The 23,601-nt window shown below is 40.2% G+C and overlaps 1 protein-coding gene across 4 annotated transcripts in view, besides 2 other annotated features; it reads left to right on the forward strand.

The window, feature by feature from the left end:
* SLC39A12 (solute carrier family 39 member 12) overlaps positions 1 to 16,788 on the forward strand; it is a 91,368-nt gene extending 74,580 nt beyond the window's left edge. For all 4 annotated transcript variants that reach the window (NM_001145195.2, NM_001282733.2, NM_152725.4 and 1 more), the window contains one exon: positions 16,208 to 16,788. In NM_001145195.2, coding sequence (NP_001138667.1) covers positions 16,208 to 16,336 — 129 coding nt within the window. In that variant the 3' untranslated portion in view covers positions 16,337 to 16,788. The remainder of the gene's footprint in view (positions 1 to 16,207) is intronic.
* Positions 9,314 to 9,903: an enhancer, noted in NCBI's record as "H3K27ac-H3K4me1 hESC enhancer chr10:18324740-18325329 (GRCh37/hg19 assembly coordinates)". NCBI's record gives its function as "activates a minimal SCP1, AML or CMV promoter by ChIP-STARR-seq in primed H9 embryonic stem cells {active_cell/tissue: H9 hESC(primed)}" and the evidence as "EXISTENCE:reporter gene assay evidence [ECO:0000049][PMID:30033119]".
* Positions 9,904 to 10,492: an enhancer, noted in NCBI's record as "H3K27ac-H3K4me1 hESC enhancer chr10:18325330-18325918 (GRCh37/hg19 assembly coordinates)". NCBI's record gives its function as "activates a minimal SCP1, AML or CMV promoter by ChIP-STARR-seq in primed H9 embryonic stem cells {active_cell/tissue: H9 hESC(primed)}" and the evidence as "EXISTENCE:reporter gene assay evidence [ECO:0000049][PMID:30033119]".
* Positions 16,789 to 23,601: the final 6,813 nt, after the last annotated feature.

Here is a 23,601-nt window from a genome sequence, read left to right on the forward strand (position 1 = left end):
ATAGACGTAGGGTTTTTTAAAGCATATCTCTTGCTTGATGTTCTTTGAGCTTCCTATACCTATAATTTAGTGTTTGACATTAATTTGGAGAAATTCTCAGTATTGTTTCAAATATTCCTTCTGGTGTTTTGTCTCTTTCTCCTCTTTCTAATATGTTATGCCTTTTGTAGTTGTCCCATAGTTCTTGGATATTCTCTTTAGAGTTTTCTTTTTTCAGTCCTTTTTTCTCTACTTTTCTGTTTTTCAAGTTTGTTTTGTAAAATCCTCAAGCTCAAAGATTCTCTCTTTAGCCATGTCTAATCTACTAATTAGCTCATCAAAGACATTCTTCATTTCTGTGACAGTGTTTTTAATCTCTAGCATTTATTTTTTATTTTTCTTATAATTTCCATTTTTCTGCTTACATTTTCCTTCTGTTTTGAATGTTGTCTTTTTTTATTAAGTTCCTTAACATATTAATCATAATGTTTTAAAACTCCTGATCCAATCATTTCAACATTTCTATTACATCTGATTTTGATTCTGATGGTTGTTCAGTTTCTTTAAACCATCTTTTGCCTTTTAATATGTCTTGTAATTTGAAAGGTGAACATGTTGTACTGAGTGAACAGAATTGTGCTAAATAGGCCATTAGTAATGTGGTAAGAAGGAATACATAGGGGAAAGGGAAGGCTCTACAGTCCTTTGGTAGATCTCAGTCTTTCAGTGAGCTTGTGCCCTTGGACTATGAACTTCATCAGTGTTTCTCATTATCCCTTCCCTCAAGTAAGACAGCATGGCTAGAAAGAGCTGAAATTGGGTATTTTCCTTCCCCAGGTGGATTAGGCTTTGATAAAACCCCAATAGGTTAGGTTCTGGTTAACCAGTTTCCCCTGAGGGAAGATCTTGTTAAGAGCAGAATGCTCTGGTATATTTCAAAATGATTATTTTCCCTCTCCTCCTACCAGAAGTATGAGAAGATTTTTCTCCAGTGTTCACTGTGAGAACCCGTGGAGCTCCTGGAGGTAAAACTCACAAAATCTGGGGGCCTTTTAAGATTGGGTCTTCCGGAATTTTAAACTCAGAGTTGTCCAGGCTGAGCTTTCAGCAATTCATTCATTGCAGTCAGATTTTCTTAACCTTCCACTGACTGGTTCTAGCAGAGGTTTCTGCTACTGGGCTTTTGCTCTGGTAAGTTGTGATTGTCTGAGTCTACCTGCTGTCTCTCCAATGTCTGAGACAGTGTATACCTTTCTCTGATGCATCTAAAGAGAGTTGTTGGTTTTTCAGTTGATCAGCTTTACTTGTTAGGACAGAATGGCAATTGCTCATTTGTAAGCCAAATGGTGACTTGCACCATCATGTTCCATTTTGTTGTTAGATGCCTGCCTTCTGCAAGGACAAACTAAGCCATTTACAAATGGGCTGGAGTTAGAGACTCCCACAGAATGTGTGTTCCTCTAGAAATTAAACATAATTAGGATGCCCCCCAAGATAAATTTCTGAGTTTTCTTCTTTATCACATTTCTTAGAAGCAAACATGGTTCTGCTTATCAAATGCAAATGTATACCTGCCTCCGTGTGCACAGTGACTTTTAGGATCCCTCTTGGAAACAGATGTTGTACATCAGTTAAGTGAACTTTATGAATGGAGAAGCAAATCACTTCTAAGCATTCATAATGCCAAAAGCTATGCATTCCTGAGAGAGAAAAATACTTAAAGTACAACCTTACCTTCATAGGAGACGTCTCTAAATGTCATCAGTAAATGAATATTGTTTCTATATTTGAATTGCAAATTTTTATCAGTGAAAGCTCTTTGACATCTTTATCTTGGAAGCATTGGAGGCTGATCTTTCTTCTTCAGTGTGTATATTTATGAATCATGAATAAAGGTAAATGTTGAAATATTTGATAATGGGTCTTTAGTGATGCCAACAGGAAACCAGTTTCAGGTTACAGATGGAAGTGGACAGTAAATGCTTTGCTTGTCATGAGAGTCTGAAACTCAGATGTACAAGAAAGAGGGACAAAATACGAGTTCCAGAGGATGTTTTGTGGATCATCCTTCTTTGTGACAGGTCCTCCCTAGTATACAGTTATCACATAGGACCAGATGCTGGTATTTGTCTACTTTCTTTCCTGATGGTTCTCCTAATTTCCTTCATGAGTATTTTATTTTAAAGCTTCGACTTGACTAGGAATGAGGTTATAGGGATTGACTCAAGTTTAAAACATTTTCTTTTCTTTTCTTTTTTTTTGAGATGGAATCTCACTCTATCGCCTAGGCTGGAGTGCAGTGGTGTGATCTTGGCTCACTGCAACCTCTGCCTCCCAGGTTCAAGCAACCCTCCAGCCTCAGCCTCCCGAGTAGCTAGGATTATAGGCACCTGCCACCACACTCGGCTAATTTTTGTGTTTTTAATAGAGACGAGGTTTCACCATACTGGTCAGGCTGGTCTTGAACTCCTGACCTCAGGTGATCCACCCGCCTCAGCCTCCCAAAGTGCTGGGATTACAGGCGTGAGCCACCACGCCCCACCAAAACTTTTTTTTTTTTTTAATTTTTGTTTTTTAGTAGAGGTGGAGTTTCACCATGTTAGCCAGGATGGTCTCAATCTCCTGAACTCGTGATCCGCCCACCTCGGCCTCCCAAAGTGCTGGGATTACAGGCGTGAGCCACCGTGCCCAGCCCAAAACATTTTCTTAATGTCACTTTCTAAAATGTTCAGAAATGCTACTTAGCAGTTAGCCATCCTAAGCAGTTTTCAATTAGGTAACAGAACTTGCGAGGACCATTCTCTGTGGATAAGTCGTAGTTTGTGGACTCTGCTGCATTTTAAGGAATTTCTTACCTGTGCCATGATTCACACTTGAAAAAAGAACTCAACAACGGCAGGCCAAAGGGATGCACTTTAGCTAAAGATTTTTTATTTCCAGAAAATTACAACTTCTTGACTAACAACTCTTTGCACCTACTGATTTAGGTTGGACAACTTGTGAAACATAGTGGTAAAAAAGGAAGTTACTTCTCTACTTCAAGGTTTCCAAGTTTCTGGCAGAAATCTAAAGAACATTTCTCTTAGCACTACCTCTGGGCAAGACACTTCTGCTAAAATGTCCTTCTTTTTCTCTGTACCTTTATGTCATTGTTAATATACTCTGTTCATCATTTCCCCTCCTCTACTCTTAGAGTATAAATCAAGATCCGTAAAATTGCTCAATAACAGGACTTAACTGCCCTGGAGGAAGAAGGGATTTTTCTTTCCTTTTTGAAATTCAGAGGGGGAAATGGTGGCATTTAAACTCCTGCCAAAAATTTTAAATTTCTAACAAAAAAATAAAATAAATACTCTTGAAAATTAATTCATATGAACCTTTATTTTCCTTCAAAATTGACTGGCTAAAATGATGGAAAAAATATATACATATATGGAGATTAAGAGAAGGTGGAAAGCTATAATTAGATAGGGTTTGAGTTTTGGCATTTCGTATTTGTAGCTGTTGGAAAGACTTTCTGTAGGACTCTCTGGTATTTGGTATCCAAGAGATACTATGGTTCATATGTTCATCCATAATCATACTAAAAAGAGCCAAGTATTGTCAGAAAAGCAGGTTTAGCTGGGTTTCTCACCGAATTGATTTACATGTGAACATGGAAAGTTCACATAGGCCACCGAAATTGAAATGGAAACTTTTATTTCAGATGAGAATCTCCTTGAACTTTTTTTGAAATGTTGATTTGCACTGTTTGCCCATATCTATGAGCTTGCAAACTTAGTCTTTTCTTTCTTTTTTTTTTTTGAGATGGAGTCTCTCTCTGTCGCCCAGGCTGGAGCACAGTGGCGCCTCCCAGGTTCATGCCATTCTCCTGCCTCAGCTTCCCGAGTAGCTGGGACCACATGGGCCCACCACCACACCCAGCCAATTTTTTGTATTTTTTTAGTAGAGACGGGGTTTCACCATGTTAGCCAGGATAGTCTCAATCTCCTGACCTCGTGATCCGCCTGCCTCGGCCTCCCAAAGTGCTGGGATTACAGGCGTGAGCCACCGTGCCCGGCCAAGTCTTTTCAAACACATATTGTCTGCCTTGAAAACATAGAACCAGTACTGTGATATATTTTTATTTTATTTTATTTATTTATGTATTTATTTATTTATTTATTTATTTATTTTTATTATACTTTAAGTTTTAGGGTACATGTGCACATTGTGCAGGTTAGTTACATATGTATACATGTGCCATGCTGGTGTGCTGCACCCACTAACTCGTCATCTAGCATTAGGTATATCTCCCAATGCTATCCCTCCCCCTCCCCCCTCCCCCCACCCCACCACAGTCCCCAGAGTGTGATATTCCCCTTCCTGTGTCCATGTGATCTCATTGTTCAATTCCCACCTATGAGTGAGAATATGCGGTGTTTGGTTTTTTGTTCTTGCGATAGTTTACTGAGAATGATGATTTCCAATTTCATCCACGTCCCTACAAAGGACATGAACTCACCATTTTTTATGGCTGCATAGTATTCCATGGTGTATATGTGCCACATTTTCTTAATCCAGTCTGTCATTGTTGGACATTTGGGTTGGTTCCAAGTCTTTGCTATTGTGAATAATGCCGCAATAAACATACGTGTGCATGTGTCTTTATAGCAGCATGATTTATAGTCATTTGGGTATATACCCAGTAATGGGATGGCTGGGTCAAATGGTATTTCTAGTTCTAGATCCCTGAGGACTCGCCACACTGACTTCCACAATGGTTGAACTAGTTTACAGTCCCACCAACAGTGTAAAATTGTTCCTATTTCTCCACATCCTCTCCAGCACCTGTTGTTTCCTGACTGTTTAATGATTGCCATTCTAACTGGTGTGAGATGGTATCTCATAGTGGTTTTGATTTGCATTTCTCTGATGGCCAGTGATGATGAGCATTTTTTCATGTGTTTTTTGGCTGCATAAATGTCTTCTTTTGAGAAGTGTCTGTTCATGTCCTTCGCCCACTTTTTGATGGGGTTGTTTGTTTTTTTCTTGTAAATTTGTTTGAGTTCATTATAGATTCTGGATATTAGCCCTTTGTCAGATGAGTAGGTTGCGAAAATTTTCTCCCATTTTGTAGGTTGCCTGTTCACTCTGATGGTAGTTTCTTTTGCTGTGCAGAAGCTCTTTAGTTTAATTAGATCCCATTTGTCAATTTTGTCTTTTGTTGCCACTGCTTTTGGTGTTTTGGACATGAAGTCCTTGCCCATGCCTATGTCCTGAATGGTAATGCCTAGGTTTTCTTCTAGGGTTTTTATGGTTTTAGGTCTAACGTTTAAATCTTTAATCCATCTTGAATTGATTTTTGTATAAGGTGTAAGGAAGGGATCCAGTTTCAGCTTCCTACATATGGCTAGCCAGTTTTCCCAGCACCATTTATTAAATAGGGAATCCTTTCCCCATTGCTTGTTTTTCTCAGGTTTGTCAAAGATCAGATAGTTGTAGGTATGCGGCATTATTTCTGAGGGCTCTGTTCTGTTCCATTGATCTATATCTCTGTTTTGGTACCAGTACCATGCTGTTTTGGTTACTGTAGCCTTGTAGTATAGTTTGAAGTCAGGTAGTGTGATGCCTCCAGCTTTGTTCTTTTGGCTTAGGATTGACTTGGCGACGCGGGCTCTTTTTTGGTTCCATATGAACTTTAAAGTAGTTTTTTCCAATTCTGTGAAGAAAGTCATTGGTAGCTTGATGGGGATGGCATTGAATCTGTAAATAACCTTGGGCAGTATGGCCATTTTCACGATATTGATTCTTCCTACCCATGAGCATGGAATGTTCTTCCATTTGTTTGTATCCTCTTTTATTTCCTTGAGCAGTGGTTTGTAGTTCTCCTTGAAGAGGTCCTTCACATCCCTTGTAAGTTGGATTCCTAGGTATTTTATTCTCTTTGAAGCAATTGTGAATGGAAGTTCACTCATGATTTGGCTCTGTGTTTGTCTGTTGTTGGTGTATAAGAATGCTTGTGATTTTTGTACATTGATTTTGTATCCTGAGACTTTGCTGAAGTTGCTTATCAGCTTAAGGAGATTTTGGGCTGAGACAATGGGGTTTTCTAGATATACAATCATGTCATCTGCAAACAGGGACAATTTGACTTCCTCCTTTCCTAATTGAATACCCTTTATTTCCTTCTCCTGCCTAATTGCCCTGGCCAGAACTTCCAACACTATGTTGAATAGGAGTGGTGAGGGAGGGCATCCCTGTCTTGTGCCAGTTTTCAAAGGGAATGCTTCCAGTTTTTGCCCATTCAATATGATATTGGCTGTGGCTTTGTCATAGATAGCTCTTATTATTTTGAAATACGTCCCATCAATACCTAATTTATTGAGAGTTTTTAGCATGAAGGGTTGTTGAATTTTGTCAAAGGCTTTTTCTGCATCTATTGAGATAATCATGTGGTTTTTGTCTTTGGCTCTGTTTATATGCTGGATTACATTAATTGATTTGCGTATATTGAACCAGCCTTGCATCCCAGGGATGAAGCCGACTTGATCATGGTGGATAAGCTTTTGGATGTGCTGCCGGATTCGGTTTGCCAGTATTTTATTGAGGATTTTTGCATCAATGTTCATCAAGGATATTGGTCTAAAATTCTCTTTTTTGGTTGTGTCTCTGCCCGGCTTTGGTATCAGAATGATGCTGGCCTCATAAAATGAGTTAGGGAGGATTCCCTCTTTTTCTATTGATTGGAATAGTTTCAGAAGGAATGGTACCAGTTCCTCCTTGTACCTCTGGTAGAATTTGGCTGTGAATCCATCTGGTCCTGGACTCTTTTTGGTTGGTAAACTATTGATTATTGCCACAATTTCAGCTCCTGTTATTGGTCTATTCAGAGATTCAACTTCTTCCTGGTTTAGTCTTGGGAGGGTGTATGTGTCGAGGAATTTATCCATTTCTTCTAGATTTTCTAGTTTATTTGCGTAGAGGTGTTTGTAGTATCCTCTGACGGTAGTTTGTATTTCTGTGGGATCGGTGGTGATATCCCCTTTATCATTTTTTATTGTGTCTATTTGATTCTTCTCTCTTTTTTTCTTTATTAGTCTTGCTAGCGGTCTATCAATTTTGTTGATCCTTTCAAAAAACCAGCTCCTGGATTCATTGATTTTTTGAAGCGTTTTTTGTGTCTCTATTTCCTTCAGTTCTGCTCTGATTTTAGTTATTTCTTGCCTTCTGCTAGCTTTTGAATGTGTTTGCTCTTGCTTTTCTAGTTCTTTTAATTGTGATGTTAGGGTGTCAATTTTGGATCTTTCCTGCTTTCTCTTGTGGGCATTTAGTGCTATAAATTTCCCTCTACACACTGCTTTGAATGCGTCCCAGAGATTCTGGTATGTTGTGTCTTTGCTCTCATTGGTTTCAAAGAACATCTTTAATTCTGCCTTCATTTCGTTATGTACCCAGTAGTCATTCAGGAGCAGGTTGTTCAGTTTCCATGTAGTTGAGTGGCTTTGAGTGAGATTCTTAATCCTGAGTTCTAGTTTGATTGCACTGTGGTCTGAGAGATAGTTTGTTATAATTTCTGTTCTTTTACATTTGCTGAGGAGAGCTTTACTTCCAAGTATGTGGTCAATTTTGGAATAGGTGTGGTGTGGTGCTGAAAAAAATGTATATTCTGTTGATTTGTGGTGGAGGGTTCTGTAGATGTCTATTAGGTCCACTTGGTGCAGAGCTGAGTTCAATTCCTGGGTATCCTTGTTGACTTTCTGTCTCGTTGATCTGTCTAATGTTGACAGTGGGGTGTTAAAGTCTCCCATTATTAATGTGTGGGAGTCTAAGTCTCTTTGTAGGTCACTCAGGACTTGCTTTATGAATCTGGGTGCTCCTGTATTGGGTGCATATATATTTAGGATAGTTAGCTCTTCTTGTTTAATTGATCTCTTTACCATTATGTAATGGCCTTGTCTCTTTTGATCTTTGCTGGTTTAAAGTCTGTTTTATCAGAGACTAGGATTGCAACCCCTGCCTTTTTTTGTTTTCCATTAGCTTGGTAGATCTTCCTCCATCCTTTTATTTTGAGCCTATGTGTGTCTCTGCACATGAGATGGGTTTCCTGAATACAGCACACTGATGGGTCTTGACTCTTTATCCAATTTGCCAGTCTGTGTCTTTTAATTGGAGAATTTAGTCCATTTACATTTAAAGTTAATATTGTTATGTGTGAATTTGATCCTGTCATTATGATGTTAGCTGGTGATTTTGCTTGTCAGTTGATGCAGTTTCTTCCTAGTCTCGATGGTCTTTACATTTTGGCATGATTTTGCAGCGGCTGGTACCGGTTGTTCCTTTCCATGTTTAGCGCTTCCTTCAGGAGCTCTTTTAGGGCAGGCCTGGTGGTGACAAAATCTCTCAGCATTTGCTTGTCTGTAAAGTATTTTATTTCTCCTTCACTTATGAAGCTTAATTTGGCTGGATATGAAATTCTGGATTGAAAATTCTTGTCTTTAAGAATGTTGAATATTGGCCCCCACTCTCTTCTGGCTTGTAGGGTTTCTGCCGAGAGATCCGCTGTTAGTCTGATGGGCTTCCCTTTGAGGGTAACCCGACCTTTCTCTCTGGCTGCCCTTAACATTTTTTCCTTCATTTCAACTTTGGTGAATCTGACAATTATGTGTCTTGGAGTTGCTCTTCTCGAGGAGTATCTTTGTGGCGTTCTCTGTGTTTCCTGAATCTGAATGTTGGCCTGCCTTGCTAGATTGGGGAAGTTCTCCTGGATAATATCCTGCAGAGTGTTTTCCAACTTGGTTCCATTCTCCCCATCACTTTCAGGTACACCAATCAGACATAGATTTGGTCTTTTCACATAGTCCCATATTTCTTGGAGGCTTTGCTCATTTCTTTTTATTCTTTTTTCTCTAAACTTCCCTTCTCGCTTCATTTCATTCATTTCATCTTCCATCGCTGATACCCTTTCTTCCAGTTGATCGCATTGGCTCCTGAGGCTTCTGCATTCTTCACGTAGTTCTCGAGCCTTGGTTTTCAGCTCCATCAGCTCCTTTAAGCACTTCTCTGTATTGGTTATTCTAGTTTTACATTCTTCTAAATTTTTTTCAAAGTTTTCAACTTCTTTGCCTTTGCTTTGAATGTCCTCCCATAGCTCAGAGTAATTTGATCATCTGAAGCCTTCTTCTCTCAGCTCGTCAAAGTCATTCTCCATCCAGCTTTGTTCCGTTGCTGGTGAGGAACTGCGTTCCGCTGGAGGAGGAGAGATGCTCTGCGTTTTAGAGTTTCCAGTTTTTCTGTTCTGTTTTTTCCCCATCTTTGTGGTTTTATCTACTTTTGGTCTTTGATGATGGTGATGTACAGATGGGTTTTCGGTGTGGATGTCCTTTCTGTTTTTTAGTTTTCCGTCTAACAGACAGGACCCTCAGCTGCAGGTCTGTTGGAATACCCTGCCGTGTGAGGTGTCAGTGTGCCCCTGCTGGGGGGTGCCTCCCAGTTAGGCTGCTCGGGGGTCAGGGGTCAGGGACCCACTTGAGGAGGCAGTCTGCCGGTTCTCAGATCTCCAGCTGCGTGCTGGGAGAACCACTGCTCTCTTCAAAGCTGTCAGGCAGGGACATTTAAGTCTGCAGAGGTTACTGCTGTCTTTTTGTTTGTCTGTGCCCTGCCCCCAGAGGTGGAGCCTGCAGTGGCAGGCAGGCCTCCTTGAGCTGTGGTGGGTTCCACCCAGTTCCAGCTTCAGGGCTGCTTTGTTTACCTAAGCAAGCCTGGGCAATGGCGGGCGCCCCTCCCCCAGCCTCACTGCCGCCTTGCAGTTTGATCTCAGACTGCTGTGCCAGTAATCAGTGAGACTCCGTGGGCGTAGGACCCTCCGAGCCAGGTGTGGGATATAATCTCGTGGTGCGCCGTTTTTTTAAGCCGGTCTGAAAAGCGCAGTATTCGGGTGGGAGTGACCCGATTTTCCAGGTGCGTCCGTCACCCCTTTCTTTGACTAGGAAAGGGAACTCCCTGACCCCTTGCGCTTCCCAGATGAGGCAATGCCTCGCCCTGCTTCGGCTCACGCACGGTGCGCGCACCCACTGGCCTGCGCCCACTGTCCGGCACTCCCTAGTGAGATGAACCCAGTACCTCAGGTGGAAATGCAGAAATCACCCGTCTTCTGCGTCGCTCACGCTGGGAGCTGTAGACCGGAGCTGTTCCTATTCGGCCATCTTGGCTCCTCCCCCGTGATATCTTTTACAACAAAGGCAGCCTAATAACTATATCATTGGCATCTTGCAGTTAGCATTTTAAAAATTATATATATATATATATATATATATATATATATATATATATATATATATTTTTTTTTTTAATGGAATCTCACTCTTGTCGCCTAGCCTGCGGTGCAGTGGCACAGTCTCGACTCACTGCAACCTCCGCCTCCCAGGTTTAAACGATTCTCTTGCCTCAGCCTTTCAAGTAGCTGGGATGACAGGCACCCGCCACCATGCCTGGCTAATTTTTGTGTTTTTAATAGAGTCTGCGTTTCACCATATTGGCCAGGCTGGTCTTGAACTCTTGACCTCAAGTGATCTGCCAGCCTAGGCCTCCCAAAGTGCTGGGATTACAGGTGTGAGCCACCATGCCCAGCCTAAAAATTGCTATAGATTATACCTCTTTCCAAAATTTTTTGGACCATTTGATTTTCCTCTTCTTGAATTACCTGTTTGGTATCTTTTGCCTGATTTTCTGTTGGTGTGTTTGCTGTTATTGTTTATTGATTTATTAAGTGTTGATTATTGATAATTCATTATTGATTGCATCATGTATTTTATCAAATTTTCATGAAGTGCAGTGACATTTTTATGCTTAATAGGACATTTCTACCATTGATATTTTCCATTTTTTTCTAATTAGACCAATTCGCCCTTGGTCATAATAGACAAGGATGAATTTCAGATAGAAACAGTGAATCTCAGATAGAGAATTGATCTTTGCAGTTCTTTGTATGTTCACTACAGTTAGGAGGTGACCTGGTTTCTTGTCCTCTTTCTGACATCACAACAATGTGACTGTGGGTGAGCTGTTATCCTCTCTGAGCTAATGTTTCTTCAAAACTGAAAGGAGTGAATAGTTTTATCACTTGCAGGATTATGAGAAGTAAAAGGGGGGAAATATATATGTAAGAAAGGACGTGATAAATAGATGTAAATGAAAGGCAAATAAAATAAGCATTGCATAAGACTTTGTAGCCAGGACAACCTGAAAGACCTGGCAGGAAAGAAGTGCTGCTAGAAGGCACAGCTAGGCCAGGTGCAGGGGCTCACACCTGTAATCCCAGCACTTTGGGAGGCCAAGGTGGGCGGATCACCGTCAGGAGATGGAGACCATCTTGGCCAACATCATGAAACCCCATCTCTACTAAAATACAAAAAATTAGCCAGGCATGGTGGTGCGTGCCTGTAGTCCCAGCTACGTGGGCGACTGAGGCAGGGGAATTGTTTGAACCCGGGAGGTGGAGATTGCCATGAGCCAAGATCACACCAATGCACTCCAGCCTAGTGACAGAGTGAGCCTCCATCTCAAAAAAAAAAAAAAAAAAAAAAAAAAAAAAAAAGCACAGCTAACTGTATGGCAAGTTATCATAGGGTCCATTATTTCGATTAAAAAAAAATACAGGAGCCTGTTGCAACTCCTGAAGACATTGTATTCCATGTAAATGTTGCCTCTGGAGTTGTGAAAATGTTCATGGTGTTTTCTGGTGGATAATGCCGTCATTTATATACAAGAATAAAGAATTCTTAATTTTCTCACTGGGAGTAGGGTCACTGACTCTCATAAAAGATGCATTCAATTCAATAGGTATTAAATCCTCCAAGCAAGCAGCAGGTTTATAAACTAAGGCTAGTGAGAAAAATAATGGATTGGACAATTGTTTTAAAAATTTGGGACAATTTTGTAATCCCAGCACTTTGGGAGGCCAAGGTGGGCAGATTACCTGAGGTCAGGAGTTCAAGACCAGCCTGGCTAACATGGTGAAACCCAGTCTCTACTAAAAACACAAAATATGCCAGGTGTGGTGGTGTGTGCCTGTAATCCCAGCTACTTCAGAGGCTGAGGCAGGAGAATTGCTTGAACCTGGGAGGTGGGGAGGTTGCAGTGAGCTGAGATCATGCCACTGCACTCCAGCCTGGGCCACAAGAGTGAAACTCTGTCTCAAAAATAAATAAATAAATAAATAAATAAATAAAAATAACTGGGACATGTTTTGGATTTAGTCAAAACAGAAACAGCTTGAAATTCTGCTATAATTTACAAGATATTAATTCTAGCTCTGTGTTTTTGTACCTAAAACATTTTGGTGATTTGATCGACCCAAATCTAGGGTCTACTTCTCCTCAGCCAAAGACCCTTCCTGGAAGTGTGAGGCAAAGATGGAAATTCAAAAGTGAGCTTTCCAAAATGTAGGTTCATGAAGATATTGATGATTTGAAAAGTCATCTCAAATTCTATCTCTTGAACCAGAACCATTTTTACTACCATGCGTCTATCTTGCCCAAAATATTTTTCTCCATAATAGTCCACTCAAAATAATCGTGATGGTTCAATAAATGACCTATACTTTATAAGTCTTTGCAAACAAAACCTTTCCAGAAAACACTTCTACTGTGTACTTTACCAAAGACTAAGAACAGCCAGGTGGCAGTAGGGACAGAGATGGGATATGCTGTTAATTCAGCCATGTTTTACAAAAGATAATTAATAATCTTGTTTGAAAAATGAGGAGGAGGAGGAGGAGGAGAGGGAACTACACAAGATCTTATTCCATATTTGGAAATTAGAGTAATCAAGGTTTGAGCCTGTAAATGACCACAGATGGTATGATTGTGTCTCACAGATGCAGTTTGAGATGCAGCTTACTGGGACAAAGGAAGGTGGTGGCCTATGTTGTCTGGCTTTGGAGAAAACTATTAAAAAATACTGAAAACTATTGAGAATCAAAGTGATTGGGGCTGAGTATGGTGGCTTATGCCTGTAATTCCAACACTTTGGAAAGCTGAGGCAGGAAGATCAGTTGAGCCCCGGCATTTGTGATCAGCCTAGGCAACATAGCAAGACCTCGTCTCTACTAAGAATTTTAAAATTAGCTGGGTAGGGTAGTATGCACCTGCAGTCTTAGCTACCCAGGAGGCTGAAGTGGGAGGATTGCTTGAGCCCAGGAGTTCACGGCTACAGTGAGCTATGATCACATCACTGCACTCCAGCCTGGGCAACAGTGAGACCCTGAATCAAAAAAAAGAAAAACAAGGTATTGGAAAATTCCCATGTATGTACCTTGTTAATCCCTCAAGAGTACCATCAAATGCAAGCTCTTTGAGAACAAATACTATTTCTTCCCTATACATATAAGCCTTAATCTAGAATTCTGCCATGTCCACTGTGGATTTTGAATTAATATCAAGGCATTTAGAAACCAAAACACTCTGAATGTTGAACTAATATCAAGGCATTTAGTAAATGAAAGATATTCATTCGCCACTTAGGAGGAAACGGGGAAAGTTTGTCATAAATCCATTGTTAACTATATGAGAAACTTGCAACAGTTACATATAGTTCAAACATTAAATATATGTAATTTAAAACATATACGTAATATATAAAACATGAAATCAGATGTTTCAGCTGCTTCTTGCTAAGTCACTTTACTACAAAATTGAAAATATAGACTGTTTTATCCACATTCCATAGATTTTCCAAAATGGCATTTTGAATTTATAATTGATGAATCAGATAAGATTTTTCTAAAGTATAACATGTTTAAACCTGGCATAAAGACACCAAAAGAGCATGTAATTTGTTTAAAATGGTCCACCCAGGAGAGCAGTTCTGGATCCTACTTTGTCTTTGAGTCCATTGCTCCATGCCGGGATGTGAGATGGCAGGTCATAGTAAACCACCCTCATGCCATTGAAATAACTACCTAAGATGAAGAAATATCTCAAACAGAGCATTCAGGGTGCTCCTCTCCATGTACTTAAAAATGTGTCAACCTGGCCAGGCATGGTGGCTCATGCCTGTAATCCCAGCACTTTAGGAGGCCAAGGCAGGTGGATCACCTGAGGTCAGGAGTTCAAGACTAGCCTGGCCAACATGAAGAAACCCTGTCTCTACTAAAAATACAAAATTAGCCAAGCATGGTGGTGGATGCCTATAGTTCCAGCTACTCGGGAGGCTGAGGTAGGAGAATCGCCATAACCCAGGAGGCAGAGGTTGCAGTGAGCCGAGATCATGCCACTGTACTCCAGCCTAGGCGATAAGAGTGAAACTCCATCTCAAAAAAAAAAAAAAAAAGTGTCAAGCCATTTTCTATTGCCATAAACCTAAAGTCCTTGATCATTCATTTGATCGATAAAATAATCTGAGTCGTTCTCTACTGGAGGTGATTTTTATCCCCCAGAGAAAATTTGACTGTGTCTGGAGGCATTTTTGCTTGCCATGATTGTGGGCAGAGACACAGCTGACATCTAGTAGGAGCCATAGATACTGCTACAACATCTTCTAATGGACAGGAGAGGGGTCTCACAATGAAGGATGATCTGGCCCAAAATGGCAAGATTGAGTTAAATCTCCAATCCTTGTTGACACGAGCCTGTGTCCCAATGGAAATGACTGTGTAATGAAAGAGGTATGCTTGCTCTGACCTTCTCAGGGTGAGGGCTTTGAAATAATTTGAGACAAATACACCTTGGGGCACTTCACACAGATGCGTGAGTGAACCCTTCCCTCTAAATGGTGTTAGGCCATTTCACAAACATGAAATAGTTGCCATGTGTTTCTCTGAGAATAAAATATAGCCACAGGACAGCCTGGTCAACACAGTGAAACTCTGTCTTTACCAAAACATACAAAAATTAGCCGAGTGTGGCAGCACATGCCTGTAGTCCTAGCTACTCAGGAGGCTGAGGCAGGAGAATTGCTTGAACCCGGGAGGCAGACATTGCAGTAAGCTGAGATCCCACCACTGCACTCCAGCCTGGGTGACAGAGTGAGACTCTGTCTCAAAAAAAAAAAACTTTATATATATATATATGTATATATATACACACACACACACACACACACGCACACATACACACACACATACATACACACACCATATATATGTGTATATATATGTATATACATATGTATATATGTGTATATATATGTATATACATATGTATATATGTGTATATATATGTATATACATATGTATATATGTGTATATATATGTATATACATATGTATATATGTGTATATATGTATATACATGTATATATGTGTATACATATGTATACATATGTATATACATATGTGTCTATATGTATATACATATGTATACGTATATGTATGTACATACATATGTATACGTATATATATGTACATACATATGTATATGTATATATATACACACATATATGTATATGTATATATGTATACATATATATATGTAGCCACAGGAGATAATGTCCTTACTGTTCTAAAGATCAGGAGGATCTTAGTCATCGCTCTCTCTCTCTCCTTTTCTTCCTCCCTCCTCCCATAATATGTATATATGCCTTACATCAACCTGTGCATATAGTAGTTCTATAAGCCTAATAGAACAGTCCAAAATAATAATTTTGATGCATTATTTACTTCACATTTAAACATTTTCTGAAAAGTAAGAGTTGGGTTTGTTTTTGGTTGGTAACTATGTCATTTTAAGACTTCTACCAAAGGCCAGGTGCAGTGGCTCACGCCTATAAGCCCCAGCACTTTGGGAGGCCGCAACATGCAGGTTGCTTGAGCCCAGGAGCTTGAGACCTGCCTGGGCAATACAGGGAAACCCCATCTCTACAAAAAAATGCAAAAATTAGCTGGGTGCAATGGCACGCACCTGGAAGGCTGAGGTGAGAGGATTGCTGGAGCCCAGGAGGTTGCTGTGAAATGTGATCGCAGCCATTGCACTCCAGCCTGGGTGACAGGGCAAAGACCCTGCCTCAAAAGAAAAAAAAAAAAAAAAAAAAGACTTTGCCAATCCTGGGATCCTCATAACCACAATCAAATGGCTTACTTTTAGCTTACATTTCAAAGACATGGTAGAGTAGGTATTCAGCATTTTGTAACTGTTTTGGGAATTTTAAAGGTTATTAAGTTCTGAATAACAGTCGCTCATGTTTTCCCACCAAGCTTTTCCCAGCAGTTGAATATATCTGGATCTTATTCTGGTTTTTTATTCTTTTTTTAGCTTCCTGAAATGACTCATGTTCAAACACAACGACCCTGGATGATGTTTCTCCTGCAAAACTTTGGATTGATCCTAGGTTGGCTTTCTCTCCTGCTCTTGGCTATATATGAGCAAAATATTAAAATATAAGTGAGGATCTTCAACATCTTTCAAAAATGCATTTATATAGTCTTACTTTGTTTCTTTCATTGCACTCTATAATGATTTTTAAATTAAGAATTTTTTATCTTAGGCAAAGTGTGTCTCTTTCAATTCATTAACTTATTAATTTTATAATGCAGTTTTATTTTTGGAAACATATAAATATCAGACTGTCCTTAATTGAAATTTTGTCTTTGGTTTCCAACACCATGATGAAGCTCTTGCTTTTTAAAAAGTAGTTAGTAAATTCTGCATGAATTTTAGTAAACTTTAAAAAATAGATTTTTTCCCTAAGAAAGAATGTTTGTAGAATTTAAAGTGGACAGATGCCTGTTGGAGTAAAATCAACTGCAACTTTTTGATGTTAATTTTTTTCCCTGTGCAATTATAAACTATAAGCAAGTTAAGTGACAAGCAAATGTAATAAAGACTAGTTTTAATATGGTGGTTTTTATTACCTTCTGTTACTGGATGTCAGATTCTGAGTCATCTCTTAAAAAAACAATGTATAGTTCACCCACTGACTCTAGAGCGCTTGTGAACAAGCCATTTTGGGAGACCTAAAGGATAACATGTCAGCATTCTTCTATGTAAGTCGTCAAATGAAATCTGTTCCAGGCAAGGGGAGCTGGAAACATAAGATGAAGTTCAAAATTTTTAAAGTAACAAAACTGGAGTCAGGCAGTAGATGAATGCCTAAACTCTCACAGATTTAACAGAGAATATTTATGGGAATAATCTCACTAACACGTGAGATATATTTTATCTTCTTTCTGAGGAAACAGAATCCTGAACAGGATTTCAATAGGTAAGTTCATGAAATGTACATGCAATTTACTGATAACCTAGCGAAAGTGTTGAAACAGAAAATAACCCTGGCTTTAGTCAGTTTTCTTAGAAAACAGATGCCTTATATTTTTCTTATTTTTTAAATGCTATTTCTTGACAAGGGAAAAAACCCATTTTACTCCCAAAATGACTCATGGTGCTCAGTCAAAAACATCTCTCCTATCTCTTACTCACCAGTAGGTTTTGTTGTTGTTGTTTGTTTGTTTGTTTTGCTATGCCCTACCCAAACACTATATTTTTTTTTCAACTACCTTTCTTTGATTCCAAAATGAGGTGGATTTTTTCTCCAGTTGTCTTTAGAGCTTAATTTAAGCAAAGGCCATGCATCATCACTGGATAGTGCAATAGTTCTAAAACTTTGGCACAAACAAGAATTAACCAGAATATTTATCTATGAAAAACAGAGCTTGGCCGAGCATGGTGGTTCATGCCTGTAATCTCAGTGCTTTTGGAGGCCAAGGCAGGAAGATCATTTGAGACCACCAGGAGTTTGAAACCAGCCCGGACAACATAGCATAGATCTCATCTCTACCAAAAAAAAAAAAAAAAGTTAGCCAAGTGTGGTGGTGCATGCCTGTAGACCTAGCTACTAGGGAGGCTGAGGTGGGAGGATCGTTTGAGCCCAGGAGTTCAAGGCTGCAGTGAGCTATGGTGGTACCTTTGCACTCCAGCCCGGGCAACAGAGCAAGACCCTATCTCAAGAACTAAACAAAAAGACAGATCGCTGGGCTCCATCCCTCTCTTCTGATTCTGTAGGTCTGGAGTGAGGCCTGTGACCTTGATTTTGAACTCCTTCCATGGGATGCTGCTTTTGCTGGATGGGGCACCACTCAGTACCACTGGTGTGATAGATGTTGGGCCGACTTGGCTTCAAGAAAGTTTAGGCGCACACCTCTGTTGCCCAAGTCAAGTCATGTGCTTTTAAGTAAGTAGGCTAACACGTCTACAAACCACATGCTAGATGCGAGCTCCTGGGCTGAAACACCCATTTCTTTGTCTGCATGCCATGGGACATCAGATCAATCCCAGGAATTATTGAATTAGGACTCCATGCAGCAGTTTTTTTCATATTCATATTTTCCCTAAAAGGTAAGCAGATTTGATACATAGAGCTTTGCCATTTTTTTAAGAGGATAAACTGCAGCTGAACAAAAATCTCTTTGTACAGGTCAGCATGGTGTGGAGGTCAAAATACTTGGCACTGTCTGTGTTTTGGTTTCTGTGACCGGGTTCTGATTTTGACCTTAAGCTTTAATTTATGCCATTTTAATTAGAAAAGTTCTGATGGACGACTTTGTTCCAAGTTCAAGTTTGGAGTCATTTAGAGCTGGCTAAATTAAAATTCTTGGTATGAGCTGCTCACCTTCAAGTTAGAGGAAGTTAAGTTTAACCCCCTGCTGAGGTTGGAAATAGTATGCAGAGAGGCTTAAAGGAAGTGAGCTGTCAGAGGATTTAGGAGGACATCGTCAGTGGGTGTTTGCAAGCCTATCACCAAAGTGCCTTTATTGTAAGCGGAAACCTGTGGTCATCTGCAGAAGTCATTTGAAGAGCAGTGTGCTGCCTTGGACCCTGGGGACAGCTTTCTAGATCACCATCTCTCCCCTCCTCTGCCTTAACACTGGTTTTGTGTTCTTCCAAGGAGTTCAGGTTCCAGATAACAAACCCTAGCCTGTAATGGACCTCCAGCCACAAGCAGACTTAGAATTGCTAGAACATCACTATTCCTCAAAACTGAGTGGCAAGAATAAAAGGATGATGGCAACTATTTGCTTTCTAAATATGCGCAGGGTCTAAATTTGACTCTCCATAACGTCATAGCTTTAAGCTATTTAAGTTATGTGTTACTCACTGATCTTTGGGGTGAATGGTGTTTTCCTTGAAACCAGATTTCTCAATAACATTCGGGTATTTATGTTTCCCAGGCTTAAACTTAGCATTCCACTGTATTTCGACTTGGTGATTGACTTGTCGTTGTTATTTTTTTCCCTGAACTAGAAATGCTTCTGGAGAAAAATCAAAGAGCATATCACACAGAAATCTTATGTGAACATCTATCATCCATAGACAGGGCCATCTTTAGGGATGGGGAATCGGCCCGTGTTTCTGTAGTGCTGAGAGCAGAGCCTGGGAAGCTGGTTCCACTGCTTCATGCTGGACAGGACAGAAGTCTTAAATAAACGTGTCCATCAATTGTGGTCACTACAAATCCCTCCCCCGCTTCCCAGAACTCAGATTTGGAGGTGAGACTGTGCCTCTTCTTATGAGACACACCTCTCTGGGTTCTGCACATTTACAATTTCATTTCCCCACCTAAACTGGAAAGGAAGGGCTGGGTCATGCGGCTACTAACCACTTGGGTAGACGGCACTAATCAGTTGGGTTCTAGGCAGTCATTAAGAATTCAAGCTATAAACTATAATTTTGGTTCAAATCCCAGCTACACTGCCTAATAGCCTTGTAACTTCTTAGAACGGCAGTTTCTTCTTATGTAAAATAGGGCTAAAAAGAGACCCTCCCTCACAGAATTGTGGTAAGGTCAATATGGGATACTGCTCATGAAGCACTTAGCACTGTGCCTGGAAAATACTAGTGGCTCAATAAATGTTAATTTGTTATCACTAACATCATCATCATCACCATCGGTCTTCCCTTCTTTCATCACAGTTTACCTCTCAGTGCTGTACCTTTGGTCAATGAGATCTTTTTTTTTTCTTGGTGGAAAATGGAGATCAAGCCTTTTTATATAACTGCAATCTTCAATAAGATCTCCAAACCAGCTCCCACCAGCCCTTTGAAGTTGTCCTGAATGTTTTTTCATATTGACTCAACTTCCAGAGCTGGAGACATGGGGGCCCCCTCTGATGTGCCCCGTTCTGCCCATCCTTCCAGGCTTACAAGCAGCATGAGCCCCTCTCTCTTCTTCTTTATCTCGTAACAAGTGGAAATCCATTTTGTTCCACTCCAGTTACACTCCTAAGGTTGAATAATGGAGACTCACAGAGAAGAAACTGTCTGAGGTCATTGTTATTGTCACAGTTTGATTTCAACTCAGGGAAGACAAAAAGCAGTTCAACTAATTTCTCCTGTTACCAATGCACCTGCTGAGGAAATCAAACCACCTCTGAAAAGAGTCCAACACCATCAAGGTAAACAGGGCATCTGCTCACTGGAGGCCTGGTTTTGTTTAAGCAGTGCTCCAGTGGGACAGCACACATTTTGGAAACTATCTGGGATTTCTTCTTTACTGACTAGATGGGTCTCACTGTCTCAGCATTTCCATTAAATTTCAGGGTATGCAGAGTGATCATAGACAGCCCACAGTATCACATAGTGCTAGCCCTGGAACCAGCTTCAGAGATTTAATCCAACTCTTTGATTTATAATGGTGATGTAATAGCAAGTATTTTTATAGCACTTATTATATACCAGATACTGCTAATAGTGCTTTATGAGAGTCATTTAATTCCAAGAACCCTGTGATTATAGGTGTAATGCGGTTTACAATTCCATTCTACAGACGAAGAAATTGAGGCCCAGAAAGGTCAATTAACTTGCTCAAGTTTACAGAGCTGAAGTAAGCTCCAGAGTCTGTGATACTAATCTCTACCTCGCACCCCCTCTGCATAGAGAAACTGAGGTTCAACGAGTCTGAATTACTACCTAAGCTCTTATCTCTGGAAATGAGTTTACCTAAGACTAAATTCTAGATCCCTGAATTCTAATCCAGCAATCTTAATAATCTTTACAGTCTTCCCTGGTCCTGCTCAATCAAGCCTTCTCACCTATAAGGTCTTAGTTATCTGAGGTTACTTTTACTATTCCAGTTCATGTTAATATCCCCCTATCGGGACTTGCAACCTATGCAGTAAGTTTTTGCGTTGCCTTCTGGGTTTTCTAATTGTTGATTTATGGGATGGTAAAGAAAGTGATCAGAGGTGCTAGCTCTGGATCTAGCAGCAACTGTCTGTGAGTTTTCAGGCTTACACTTCCTCCTCTGAAAAATGGGAGATTAGACTAGATGATCCTTTAAGATCTCACTGAATACAGGCCATTCAATCCTGAAGTAAGGACTCTCTCCCCAGTGGAAGGGGTGGTTCATCCACTGCACATCAAATAGCACACAGCTTATGGCAGGTTCTGTTATTCTTGTAGAAGCCATTAGTACAGTAGGTTGAATAGTATTTCCCCAAAATTCATGTCCAGCTGGAACCTCAGAATGTAGACTTATTTGGAAATAAGGCCTCTGCAGATATAATTAGTTAAGGTAGGATGAGATTGTATTGGTTTTAGGTGGACCCTAAATCCAATATGACTGGTGTCCTTGTAAGAAGAGGAGGGGACACACACACAGGGAAGATGGCCAACGGAGGACAGAGGCAGAGGACTGGATGATGCAGGTATAAGCCAAGGAATGCCAGAGATTGCCAGTAACCACCAGAAGCTAGGAAGAGGCAAGGAAGGATCCTTCCCTAGCGCCTGCAGAGGAAGCCTGGCCCTGATGAGACCTGGATTTTGGATGTTAAGCCTCAAGAATTGTGAGAATACATTTCTGCTGTTTGAAGTTACCAGTTTGTGGTTACTGGTTGTACAGCAGCCTTAGGAAATTAATGAACTTTCTTTTTTTCTTTTTCTTTTTTCTTTTTTGAGACAGTCTCGCTCTGTCACCCAGGCTGGAGTGCAGTGGTATGATCTCGGCTCACTTCAACCTCCACCTCCTGGATTCAAACAATTCTCCTGCCTCAGCCTCCTGAATAGCTGGGACTACAGGCGTCCGCCACCACACTGGCTAATTTTTGTATTTTTAGTAGAGACAGGGTTTCATCATGTTGGCCAGGCTGGTCTTGAACACCTGACCTCAGGTAATATGCCAGCCTCGGCCTCCCAAAGTGCTGGGATTACAGAAATGAGCCCCCACGCCCGGCTGGGAAACTAATGAACTTTCTAAAGGAGGAATATTCCCAAACATCAAAGCCCTTGGGATTCTCCTCGGCATAAATATTTGAAGAATTATATTTTTAAAACCTAGGTTAAGGACTGCAAACTAGAAAGTGTCACTAAGGGTCACTCTCTCTTTAGGTTCATTTTCTTCAACAAACTCAACAGACTGGACACAACAGAGAGAACACGGCTATTAGCTATGTAGATACACAAACCAAGAAGACACGTAACTATGTCTACAACAAAATGACGCTTCTAAAAAAGTGACAATCAAGCTGAAAGCAGCTTGAATGATGGATGATAGGGTCACGTAAACCTCAAAAGTAAACCTCACACAGAATGCCCTTCAGCTCTTGAGAATGACACTACAGAGGAGAAATCTACATGCAGGGCAGCAGCTTTCAATATATAGGTTTATATTTTAAGCAATAAGACCTTTTTATTACAGAAAAACTTGTGTGGAATCTGCACAGATGCTCTTAAAACTGCCTTGGTAAAAGCCAAGGAATGGAAATCAGGGCTCTAATTTCTTGGTCTCTCCCTTTCCTTCCTGTAGAAGTCTCCAAGGGATCCCTACTAATATCCTTGGAAGAATAAAATCCTGTATTGTAAGCAAATATTTATAGTTATAAAAAGTATTCACAACCCATTGAGTAAAAAAGCAATTTACCAACAAAGCATATAATTCCAGTGTTGTGAATATACAGTATGATATATTACACATATATCCATATTGAAAATGTTCTGGAAGACTATATGCTAAAATGTTCATAATATTTCCTAAGGGGTGGTATTTAAATGATATGATTTTGCTTTTTTAAAAAACAACCTATATTTCATTATTTTTGGCACCACTGTGTTATATTTAGCTTTGGAAATAAGAAACGAGTAAAATAAATTAAAAAAAAATCTGTAAGAACTCTGGAAGATTGTGCCATTATTAAACAACCTAAAATTTCAAAAAGATAATGAGTGAAGTCGCCTATGTGTTCAAAAATCTGCCATATGGAACTTCTGGATTCCACTCTGACACGTAAGGAGCTTAGAAATCATTACAAGAAAAAAGTCAAACACCCTAAAAAGCAACAATTCTTCTAAGGTCCTTCAGAGAGCAAAGGTCGCAGAGCAAATTGTTGGCCTCAAAATGTAAGAGACAGATACAGAGAACTGCAACTTACCAAAGCCGAAGCCCAGGAGCAGAAAACACTGCAGGACCCAGGACCAGTATCCAATAACAAGGTAGAGAAACCTTAGATTGGCATTGATTAATTGCTCGAATCATACTGTAGAGAAGTTTGAGAGCTAAAAACCCTAGGATGGCCCAGTTTTGCATGGAGGGCCCTCACCTGCATGATTTTTACCTCCAGGAACCCTACCAGGTTCTCACAGTGAAGACTGGAGAAAAATCAACAAGTGCTTCCGGCATGGAGAGGGGGAAAGCAGCCATTTGGAAATACACCAGAGCT

This window comes from Homo sapiens, chromosome 10, assembly GCF_000001405.40.
Source record: "Homo sapiens chromosome 10, GRCh38.p14 Primary Assembly".
Lineage (NCBI taxonomy): Eukaryota > Metazoa > Chordata > Mammalia > Primates > Hominidae > Homo > Homo sapiens.